The sequence below is a fragment of the Homo sapiens genome, chromosome 4 (assembly GCF_000001405.40).
Source record: "Homo sapiens chromosome 4, GRCh38.p14 Primary Assembly".
Taxonomy (NCBI): domain Eukaryota; kingdom Metazoa; phylum Chordata; class Mammalia; order Primates; family Hominidae; genus Homo; species Homo sapiens.
This window is the reverse complement of record NC_000004.12, coordinates 98,921,382-98,932,995: the sequence shown is the minus strand read 5'-3', so window position 1 is coordinate 98,932,995 and position 11,614 is coordinate 98,921,382. Positions and strand designations below refer to the sequence as shown.

Genomic DNA, 11,614 nt, shown 5'->3' with positions numbered 1-11,614 from the left:
GTGGCCTAAAGAAAACCAAAGCAGAGTGAGGGGATAAAGAGTAATGGAAACAGTAATTTAGATAGGGTGGTCAAGGAAGCCTTCCTTCAGGAGATCACATTGGAACAGAGGCCTGGATGAAATGAGGGAAGGAAGTATATGATTCGCTCATTCATTATGTGAATGTGTGCTGGTTATGGTGCTTGTTAACTGCATCCTCTTGGTTCTTAGTCACACCTCTTTATATGGGTACTGAACTATTTATATTTCTATGACTTAGTACGCCAACCAGATTTTACAGTCGGGGAAGGAAGTGCCTGTACTTCCTGTGTCCTTTAAATATCCTCCACTGGTTACATAGTTCCCATTACTAACTTAGTACTTGTTGGATGGTTTCTGGTCAGTTCTGTAAATGAACTTGGAATTACAAGTCCTTTGAAGAGCAATAAAGAATAATAGAGAATAAATAGAGAAATAAAACATAAAATTTCAGCTCTATATATTTAGGATTGGCAAAAACAAAACAAAACAACCACATACACACATACATAAAAACCTAATCGTTAAATCTTTGAAATGGTAGAATCTCAAATAGGCAAAGACACATTAATGGTCATAAAACACACACAACAAAGTATATACAAAAATGGAGATTTTCCTGAAACTCTGTGCTTGAAAATTATAAAGAAAAATTGTTGAAAACTATGTAAAAAATGGAAAGAAACTAAACCATAAAGAATAGAGCATCCATAAGTATTGTAAAAGTATGAGTCTTGGTTGACAAGAGGGAGTTTTTTTTTTTTTTTTTTTTTTGAGACTGAGGGAGTGCAGTGGCGCGATGTCCGCTCACTGCAAGCTCCACCTCCTGGGTTCACTCCTTTCTCCTGCCTCAGCCTGCCGCGTAGCTGGGACTACAGGCGCCTGCCACCATGCCCAGCTAATTTTTGTATTTTTAGTAGAGACGGGGTTTCACCGTGTTAGCCAGGATGGTCTCGATCTCCTGACCTCGTGATCCGCCCGTCTTGGCCTCCCAAAGTGCTGGGATTACAGGCATGAGCCACCGTGCCCGGCCCGAGTTTTTTGATTAACAGAAAATTTAATAAAAATGGAAACTGTTGTTTAAAAAAAGTTTTAAGAACATCACTGGCTTTCAGTCCTATAGGTATTTTCTTGCCAATCTCATTGATTTTTTGCTGTTATATAACAGCTTCATGAAAATAGGACATCTGGCCAGGAATGGTGGCTCATGCCTGCAATCTCAGCACTTTGGGAGGCCCAGGTAGGGGGACCGCTTGAGCCCAGGAGTTTGAGACCAGCCTGGGGAACATAGCTAGACGCTCCTGTCTCTGCAAAATATAAAAAAATTAGCTAGGCATGGTGGCCCATGCCTGTAGTCCTAGCTACTTGGGAAGCTAAGGTGGGAGGACCCCTTGAACCCAGAAGGTCAAGGCTGCAGTGAGCCATAATCATGCCACTGCACTCCAGCCTGGGTAACAGAGCAACACCCTGAAAAGACAAAAAGAAAGGAAGGAAGGAAGGAAGGAAGGAAGGAAGGAAGGAAGAGAGAGAGAGAGAGAGAATGGGAGGGGAGGGGAGGGAGGGGAGGGGAGGACAGGGGAGGGGAGGGGAAGAGAAGGGAAGGGAAGGGAGGGGAAGGGTAGGGAAGGGAGAGGAAGGGTGGGGAAGGGTGGGGAAGGGGAAAATAGGACATCTATGCTGTCTTTTTCTCTTCAAAGAAGGTAACCTGACACCACTTCTAACCAGCAGAAAATAACAACGCGGTCAACAGAATTATTTTGGATAGTCTAAGTAACAGTAGATAGTCTCTGTAAGTAGAAATCCACTTATCCGTTTATTATCATTTTTTTTTTTTTTTTGGAAATGGAGTCTCACTGTGTCGCCCAGACTGGAGTGCAGTGGCGGGATCTTGGCTCACTGCAACCTCCACCTCCCAGGTTCAAGTGATTCTCCTGCCTCAGCCTCCTGAGTAGCTGAGACTACAGGCAGGTGCCACTATGCCTGGCTAATTTTTGTATTTTTAGTAGAGACAGGGTTTCACCATGTTGGTCAGGCTGGTCTCGAACTCCTGACCTCAGGTGATCCGCCCGCCTTGGCCTCCCAAAGGGCTGTGATTACAGGCGTGGGCCACTGCGCCTGGCCTGTTAATTCTATCTACTTTAAAACCTAGTAGAGCTAAGCCCACTAGACAAAAGCTTTCATTAATCACTTCTGATATTCAGGTAAACCAAAACATATGAACAGGCAATGGCTTTGAGTTCTCATACAGCCTCAATTATGTGTTAGTCAACTCAAGCATCCATTATGTACTCAATAATAGGTATGACACAGCTCTGGACCTCATTAACACTATAAGCAGACAGGCACAGGCAGCCTGCATACACTCCTTTTCCTGGTGTCAACATTATTTAAAAGCATGGGAAATAGTAATGAGACAGTGTCTTCTTCATTAGAACCTTAGGAGTCTACTAGATTTCTTCATCTCTATTTGTTGTTATTAGTAGCCAAACTGTGCAAAAAACACGGTCTTGAGAAATGACAGCACAGTATCTTAGAGGGAAAGGAAATGTAGGATGCCAGTGTGGGGACAAATTTCTGATTGCCAGTGATTGTTGTGAGCATAACAATAATTTCATGAACATTAAAGCCTCTATTGAGGGCAGCTGCAGTTGTAAAGGAAAAAAAATGGTCCTGAACATTTAAAACTACACTGGTGTACATCATAATCAAACAAAGTAAACAGAAAAAAATTTAAACTTTGCTAAAAAAAAAAAGCAGAAGCACTTGATCTTTAGGAAGGCACGCAGTTGCTTATTATGAATCATTTCTAGAGTCCGATGCATTTTCAAAGCCGGTTACAGTCATTACGAAGCACACCCTTGTGAGGTAAGTGTATCATCACCTTTGGTTCATAAATAAAAAAGCTGAGACGCCGAGCGATTAAGTCACTCGCCTAAGGAGAATGAGTCAACGTCAAGAGTCATAGTTGACCCGGCCTAAAGACTCCAGACCATCAGTCCAGGGCTTAGTCAGCGGGGCCCGGAGTGGCTTCCCTGGCTGGCATCTGGACTTAGGCTATTTCCGTGCACGTAAAAGCGGAATATTGGAACGGTTGCACAGAACTTCCAAATAATTTTTACCGCCACGCAAGATTTAGCCCTGAGGTCTTAATCTCAGGATTTGGGACAGTAAAAGCTGTCGTCCCTCCCCCTCGTCCAGCCGGTGGCAAGCGGGTACTGCGGGCGGTTCCGTCCGTCCCCTTTCGCAGAAATGGCAACGAATGACCACCAGCATTAGCTGAGCCAGGGGACGTGGGAGGGTTGATTGCCTAAACGACTCTGCATCGCCGCCTCTTTTTGAAACTAAGAGAAAATGGTGGGAGATCAAAAGAAAACTAAATAAACACACAGGCAACTTGTCCTGGGACCTCAACTAAGCAAATGAAGCCTTATTGTGTGTGCTGAGCCTGCAGTTCCCAACCTTCCGGGGAAGATGGGAGGACAGGGCGACAAAGGGCACAGTAGGCTTGCCTGGCAGTAAGTGTGACCGCAGCTATCCAGGCGGAAGAGCAGAGGACTGAAACCACCCTCCAGCAAGCGAGTGTCCGCCGCGTTGAGAACCGCGCACCCTACCCATCGGCCACGTGACCAGTCCTTTTTAAAAAAAATTTCTTTACCTTAAAAAAAAAAAAAAAAAAAAGGTGGGGGAGAGACTCCACTTCCCAGAAGCCTCTCGTTACTCACGCAGCCGCAGTCTTGCGCAGGTGCCGCCAGGGCCAAACGGACATATCCGTCACGTGGCCAGAAGCTGGCCAATCCGGTTTGAATCTCATTTTTTTCCTCTTACCCCCCCTTCTGGAGCGGTTGTGCGATCAGATCGATCTAAGATGGCGACTGTCGAACCGGTGAGTATTGCCTTTGGCCCCCACCCCCACGGGTCCCCGCGCTCCGTCTTCCTTCTGACTGGGGGACTCCGCGGGACGGCGTTCCCGGCGCGCACTGTACCCCTTGCCGCCCCTTCCCCTTCATGTTGGACCTGACCTCCCGCGGACAAGTGGGGACGTCCCGGAGGATGGCCGAGGCGGCGTGTAGCGCACACTTTCTGGTGGGGGCCCGAGAACTGGGGGAGCGGTGTGGGGGAGGGGCGGCGTGGCGCCTCCTGCGGAACCGCGAGGTGTCTACAGGGTGGAGGGTAGCTGGGGTTCTGGGCTGGGTATGCGAGGATGGTGTCTTCATGATAGGAAGGCGCAGGGCCGGCTCCCAGCGAGTACTGGGATCCGCAGGCAGGGTGGGCGGCGAGCCGGCCTGGAGTGAGATGGAGGAGGGAGCCCTGGAGCAGCCTTTCCCTCCCTGCAGAACCCCAGCTCCGGGGCTCGGGTGCGGGGCGCGCGCACGTCTTCCTTAGACCGGTGGACTGGGGAGCTGGTGGGCGAGTGTTGCCGGAGGGTGGGTTAGGCGGGAGTGGTGCCGCGGCACGCGCGGAGGAGCTTCGACCTCGCTTAGGGGAGTTGAGAGGGGCGAGCGTCTGTTAATCCAGCGCGCCGGAGAGTTGCCGGTGTTTGCGCCAGGGGAAGCGAGAAAGGTCTGGGGTGGGAAGGAACACTCGTGTGTCACGGTGAAGCTCTCCAAGTAGAATGAGGGATGGTGGTGGTGAGAAGGGGTATCACATTGTCCTCGCCCCTCCATGCTTGGGACTGGGCTGTCATGGAGGAGGGAAGGGGGAGGAGCGAGGCCTACAGATCGCTGTAGCCGGTCGGCTTGCCGGCCGGACCTGCTGCATTTCACACGCGCCCGTCTTCCATTCATTCATCCTTTCCGCGTAGTGCGCACGCCTCAGAGAATGCGAATGGGTCTCAATCCCTCTGTTCTTCCGAGTCTTTATCTCCTGGAAGATTTCTGAGACGCAGTTTATTGGAAATAGAAACTTTTAAATTTACTTTTCCATTTGACTTTTTTTTTCTCTTTATCTATGCTACAGACTTTCATTTCAATTTAGGCACCATTTTAAACTTAACTGAAGCAAGCTGGTCCCAGGGTAGGTTTGTAGTTAATCTTTAAGCAGAGGGTATATTTTTCATAATTTGGGTTTGCCAGGACTGGCTCACTGAAACTTCTGGGCCCTGTTGCCTTTTTAGAAACGACACAGCTAAGTGAAGATATCTTGTGTGCATAATGGGGTTTATTAGCAATCAGAAAACCTTTCACACTCTGGAACCAGCTCTAGACCTTGGTTGCCAGATACTTTTGTGTATCTTTTCATGGTAGCTTGTGGTTTTGCTAATGGTTTACCAGTTTGCTTTGACTTTTAAAGACTTTTTTTTTTTTTTTTTTTTTTTTTTTTTTTTGAGATGGAGTCTTGCTTTGTCGCCCAGGCTGGAGTGCAGTGGCGTGATCTCGGCTCACTGCAACCTCCGCCTCCGGGTTCAAGCGATTCTCCTGCTTCAGCCTCTTGAGTAGCTGGGATTACAGGTGCGCACAACCGTGCCTGGCTAATTTTTGTATTTTTAGTAGAGACGGGGTTCCACCATGTTGGCCAGGCTGGTCTGAAACTCCTGACCTCAAGTGATCCTCCCGCCTCAGCCTCCCAAAGTGCTGGGATTACAGGCGTGAGCCACAGCACCCGGCACTTTTAAAGACTTTTATAAAACTATTTCAAAAACTCTTATAGACTACACAAAGGCTTATTTTTCATTGCGTTGGTGTAAACTATCCTTACCTTGTCAAAATTCAAGGCAGCTTCTCTGCTTGCTTACTTGTTTTTTTATTGGCACCAGTTTTCATTTATGTTCCTGGGAATTAAATTGACTGAAAAACTCATAAGTTGTTGCTACAGTTAACTGACTTTAGGACATTAATATTACATAACACTAATGAAGAATAAGTATGTAAAATATACATTTTAAACCCCTTGACAGGTTCTGATGTCCACTTTTGTCTAGATCTGTTCCTACCCCACTACACTAGTGTCAGTAAAAAGCATTACATCTGGTAATAGGGGCAAGGCTACGAGACTGTAAACTATAAAACAATAAGGAGTTCTGTGAGGTTTCTGTCACATTTAGGTCCCTTGAGTTTTGCAGAGTTTATGCAGTTTTGTTTCAGCAGCACAGAGCGGAACTGCAAAGTGATGAAGGACTATATTTTGAGTTAGTAAATATTAATAGCTCCTGATATATCCAGGGTGTTGTACCAAGTGTTCTTTAGGATACAAAGTTATACAAGATGTGAGTCTTGTTGAATGTAAACCCTTAAGGAACTTAATTCCTAGGGATGTGGTTAGTGATACAGTATTTGTTCTGGTACAGACTTTGGGAGATTTGGATGTTATGTTTAAATTTGGGGAGTAGGGGAACCTAAAAACAAAGTGTGTGAAGCTGGAAACTAAAGTATTTTGAGAATATATGTAAAATAGTATCGAAGTGTTTAGTTTTAGTGAGAAATGAATTTTTTTTTTTTCGATACTGACTTTCACTCTTGTTGCCCAGGCTGGAGTGCAATGGCGCGATCTTGGCTCACCGCAACCTCCGCCTCCTGGGTTCAATCGATTCTCCTGCCTCAGCCTTCCGAGTAGCTGGGATTACAGGCATGTGCCACCACGCCCGGCTAATTTTGTACTTTTAGTAGAGATGGGGTTTCTCCATGTTGGTCAGGCTGGTCTTCAACTCCCGACCTCAGGTGATCCGCCCGTCTTGGCCTCCCAAAGTGGTGGGATTACAGGCATGAGCCACCGCGCCTGGCCTGAAAATTTTTAGTACTTTTAATATACCCTTGTGCACAGGCTAGTTATGTGGAATTATTTTTGACAGTTTTAAATAGTTGGATTTTGTGTGTAGGGGTGCAGGATCTTGCTCTGTTGCTGGGGCTGGAGTGCAGTGGCGCGATCATAGCTCACTGCAGCCTCAAACTCCTGGGCTCAAGAGATGCTTCCATCTCAGCCTCTGGTGTAGCAAGCACTACAGGAGCAGGCCACCACGCCCGGATAATTTTTAAACTTTTTGTAGAGATGGAATCTCGCGATGGTTACCCAGGCTGGTCTCAAACTCCTGGACTCAAGTGGTCCTCCCACCTTGGCCTCTCAATATGTTGGGTTACAGGCGTGAGCCACCGAGCCTCGCCTGGATTTTTTTTTGAAGCAACTGATTAGAATTGGATTGTACTTGAGATACCCCTGCTGAAGGCTGCAAAAATCATGTTTTTTCTTACTTCAGCTAGTTTGTGAGCTTCCATAATGGTTTTCTGCTGTGCATAATCATAAACACTTAAAAAGAGCCATGGGCTTTTCCTGCTTATCCCATCATGCATAGGTATCTGGATGATTTTTGTCTATGGACATTACATAAAATATCATTTTCAGTTTGATATTATTGTGTGGTTTTCTCTTTGTATGAGTTGAGTTACATGAAGATGTGGCCCACAAATATTAAATTTGTTGAGAAGCTTGAAAGGGAAAATTAAGGGAAACATTTTACCTCTTAACGGATAATTTGGCAAAAATTTGAACGTTAGGGCAAACGGTACTCTGATGTTATTCTATCGGCATTTGAATTGTGGCTGGGTCAAAATTAGGTTTAATATTAGTCTGTGAAAATGGCAAGGCCATCTTACCTCCAGTAGGTCGTGTTTCTTTGTAGCTTTATCTTCATTCTACATCGTTCATTATTAGAATTAAAAAAATTTTTTTTTGACTTGTAGTTCCTTTTGAGGTAAGAGATTAATTTTGATTTCTTTAGCTTAACTGAAAGTGTATAATTTTACTTGTTTTTACATTGTAGCTCTTGAATTTTTTGAAACCACGCTAATTTCATAAGTGAATCAACTTGGACAATCAGCTAATTTAATGCTTCCTTTTTTATACTTTGGAAACATGCTCTGTACTACACAGCTTATTAATAAGAGTAAATAAGGTTTATATACATATTGACAAATATTTGTTGTACTATATAATTCATATTAATGAACAATTGAATGCCAACCAGACTATGCAAATTAGTGGACTTTTTGCTTAATGAAAGAACCCACTATATCAGAGTTCCTCGATAATCCACGTAAATTTGGCTCTGGGGTTCATATTCCAGATTTCTTCAATTAAAAGAAAAAAATATACTTGCTGAGTGCGGTGGCTCACGCCTGTAATCTCAGCACTTTGGGAGGCCGAGGCGGGTGGGGATCACTTGAGGTCAGGTGTTCGAGACCAGCCTGGCCAAAATGGTGAAACCCTGTCTCTACTAAAAATACAAAAATTAGCCAGGCCTGGTGGCAGGCGCCTGTAATCCCAGCTACTGGGGAGGCCAAGGCAGGAGAATCGCTTGAACCTGGAGGTGGAGGTTGCAGTGAACCGAGATGGTACCACTGTACTTCAGCCTGGGCGACAGAGCAAGACTCCATCAAAAAGAATAAAAAAAAAAACAGAAACAAATTTCACACTTCATTTTATAATCTGAGTTAATGAGCATGATTATTAGACTTAGAGAAATTCAATGTAGACACACAGTTTATACACAGAAGTTGCAGAGGGATAATATGCAAAATGAATTATGTAAGCTTACTCTAGTTTGGACAGAAAACTGTAGGCAAAAAACATTTAAGTAAAATATTGTTTAATTTACATAAAGTTAAGAATATGGGCCGGGTGCGGTGGCTCATGCCTGTAATCCCAGCACTTTGGGAGGCCGAGGTGGGTAGATCACCAGGTCAGTAGTTTGAGACCAGCCTGATCAACATGGTGAAACCCCACCTCTACTAAAAATACAAAACTTAGCTGGGCGTGGTGATGCGTGCTTGTAATCCCAAGGTACTCAGGAGGCTGAGGCAGGAGAAGCTCTTGAACCTGGGAGGCGGAGGTTGTAGTGAGCTGAGATTGTGCCACTGCACTCCAACCTGGGTGACAGAGCGAGACTCCGTCTCAAAAAAAAAAAAAATAAACAAAAGAAGTTTCCTTAATCTATTAGTACCGGTGAGTTGCACCATCTTAGTCATAGAGACTTTTTTGAGAAGTGGAAATGAGCATGGGTTATAGTCTCATCTTAATATCTGAGTGATCTTGAAGACTGAAATTTCTAAGTCAGCTGAAAGTCGGAATAAGATATATTACGGTGATTTCAATTTTTAAATGCAGTATTCAAAGGTGACAGTTTGTCAACTGTAAGGGACTAAAGTTGACATTCCATGAATGTTTTATACTCATGTATATCCATGCATTTACATACTATTTTCCCTCTTTTCTTGGAAATTCACATTGCTGCTTTTTAATTATCAATCCTTAGCCATTAGCAAGAAATGCAAAGCCTGTGATTCACAATCCTAAGATGTTCTTCCCACTCCTATCCCTACCATAAAAATCACTAGTGTTCCTTCAAAAGTCCCTAATCATGTCTCCAGAAAAAGAAAGGGGCTGGGCTTGGTGGCCCACACATGTAATCCGAGGCTTTGGGAGACAAAGGCAGGAGGATCACTTGAGCCCGGAGTTTGAGACCAGCCTGGCCAACATGGCGAGACCCTGTCTCTCCAAAAAATTAAAAAATTAGCTGAATATGGTGGTGCACACCTGTGTCCTAGCCTCAGGAGGCTGAAATGGGAGGATCCCCTGAGCCTGGGAGGTCAGAGCTGCAGTGAGCTGTGATCACACCACTGCATTCCAGCCTGGGTGACAGAAAGAGACCCTATCTCACCAAAAAAAAAAAGAAAAAGAAAATGATTTTGCGTGTGTGTGTGTGTGTCTAAAATACTAATAGTCATTTCTGGGCACTTCTGGAACCTGAGAATGTGGTCAGAAATATAAGGGGTTTTTTTTTTTTTGTTTCCCCAGTTGGAACTTTTGATACATTATTCCATAGAAACAGTAGGAAAATGGGCCGGGCGTGGTGGCTCACGCCTGTAATCCCGACACTTTGGGAGGCTGAGGTGGGCGGATCACCTGAGGTCGGGAGTTCGAGACCAGCCTGACCAGCATGGAGAAACCCTGTCTCTACTTAACAAAATTACAAAATTAGCTGGGTATGGTGGCACATGCCTGTAACCCCAGCTTCTTGGGAGGCTGAGGCAGAAGAATCGTTTGAACCTGGGAGGTGGAGGTTGCGGTGAGCCTATGTCTGCCATCGCACTCCAGCCTGGGCAACAAGACTGAAACTCCTTCTCAAAAAAAAAAAAAAAGAAAAAAGAAAAAACAGGAAAATGAAGTTTAGTCACACTATATTCAGTAAATTTTTGTGGAATCATTACAAATCTAACCAGCATTGGATTTATAGGGATATGGAATTAAGGATATGGATTTATAGTTGTAAGCAACTAACTAAAAAAACCTTATAAACATACCTTGTTTGTAACAGCTATTTTTAATGTAGAAAGATCGTTATTTGTAATTGCTACACATAGCACTTATTCTATGTTAAGTACCACACTGAATGCTTTACATATATTAACTCATTTATTTCTTTTTTTTTTTTTTTTGAGACAGCGTCTCACTGTTGTCCCAGCTAGAGTACAGTGGCGCGATCTCGGCTCACTGCAACCTCCGCCTCCTGGGTTCAAGTGATTCTCCTGCTTCAGCCTCCTGAGTAGCTGGGACTACAGGCACGTGCCACCACGCCCGGCTAATTTTTGTATTTATAGTAGAGATGGGGTTTCACCATATTGGCCAGGCTGGTCTCGAACTCCTGACCTCGTGATCCGCCCACCTCAGCCTCCCAAAGTGCTGGGATTACAGGCGTGAGCCACCGCGCCAGGCTAACTCATTTAATTCTTAACAGTACAGATGAAGTAACATTGTGTGACTAACTTGCTCCAAAATCACACAGCTATTAAGTGGTGGGGTGGAGTTTAAATTAAAGCAGCCAAAGTGCAGAGTGTATATTCTTAACCGTTGCACTCTTTCAAGTAGGCATGTAATGTGCTTTGCTTGGGTGACTTCAGAAGGGGAGATGTGTTTTGATAAGCTTACTATGTGTTTTGCTACAGCTATAAAATAAAACGTGTGGGCATTTATTTTTAGGCCCTGTTATATTACAATGTTAGATAACAAAAATATATAATCTTGAGGACTAAACCAAGCAATTACACCAATCGTGTTTTAGTAACTAATTGAGAACTTTGTGGATTTCTAAAGAAAGTGGATGGACACTTAACCTTCTCCCCCTTTCTAATTTGATTTCTGGCATTTGCTAGTTCGTATGATTTCCCAGTTAAAATATTTTGCTAGTGAAAAAAGTTTTAGTACATTTTTAAAAGTTTGTGAATTTTGGATTTATTCTAGACTTAACTACCTTAGTACTTTTAGTAATTTTGGTGATAAGTCTGGCAAAGGGTAAAACAGTTGTTTTGAAAAAGTTTAAGCTAAAATGTACACATACGTGTTTCTTGGTGTATTTTAAGCTTGTTACTACAAAATGCTATACAGAAATTAGTTGTAATATTTTTTTCTGTGCTCTGCTCATTACTGTCATTGTAATCTCTACTAAAAATACAAAAATTAGCCAAGCGTGGTCACGGGTGCCTGTAGTCCTAGCTACTTGGGAGACTGAAGCAAGAGAATTGCTTCAACCTGGGAGGTGGAGGTTGCAGTGAGCCGAGATGATGACATTGCACTCCATTACTGTCATTGTAATGAGCAGAGCACAGAAAAA

General features: G+C 44.1%; 1 protein-coding gene across 4 annotated transcripts in view, besides 2 other annotated features; it reads left to right on the top strand.

The window, feature by feature from the left end:
* Window positions 315-364: a silencer, noted in NCBI's record as "silent region_15579". NCBI's record gives its function as "represses an Ori minimal core promoter by ATAC-STARR-seq in GM12878 lymphoblastoid cells {active_cell/tissue: GM12878}" and the evidence as "EXISTENCE:reporter gene assay evidence [ECO:0000049][PMID:35858748]".
* Window positions 2,270-3,469: an enhancer, noted in NCBI's record as "P300/CBP strongly-dependent group 1 enhancer chr4:99850678-99851877 (GRCh37/hg19 assembly coordinates)". NCBI's record gives its function as "activates an origin of replication core promoter dependent on BRD2, BRD4, P300/CBP, MED14 and CDK7 cofactors, with strong dependence on P300/CBP, by STARR-seq in HCT116 cells {active_cell/tissue: HCT116}" and the evidence as "EXISTENCE:reporter gene assay evidence [ECO:0000049][PMID:35650434]".
* EIF4E (eukaryotic translation initiation factor 4E) overlaps window positions 3,863-11,614 on the top strand; it is a 49,858-nt gene continuing 42,106 nt past the window's right edge. For 3 of the 4 annotated variants that reach the window (NM_001968.5, NM_001130679.3, NM_001331017.2), the window contains exon 1: window positions 3,863-3,901. In NM_001968.5, coding sequence (NP_001959.1) covers window positions 3,884-3,901 — 18 coding nt within the window. In that variant the 5' untranslated portion in view covers window positions 3,863-3,883. Of the gene's footprint in view, window positions 4,102-11,614 lie in introns of all 4 variants that reach the window. The other variant, NM_001130678.4, reaches the window with a different exon arrangement.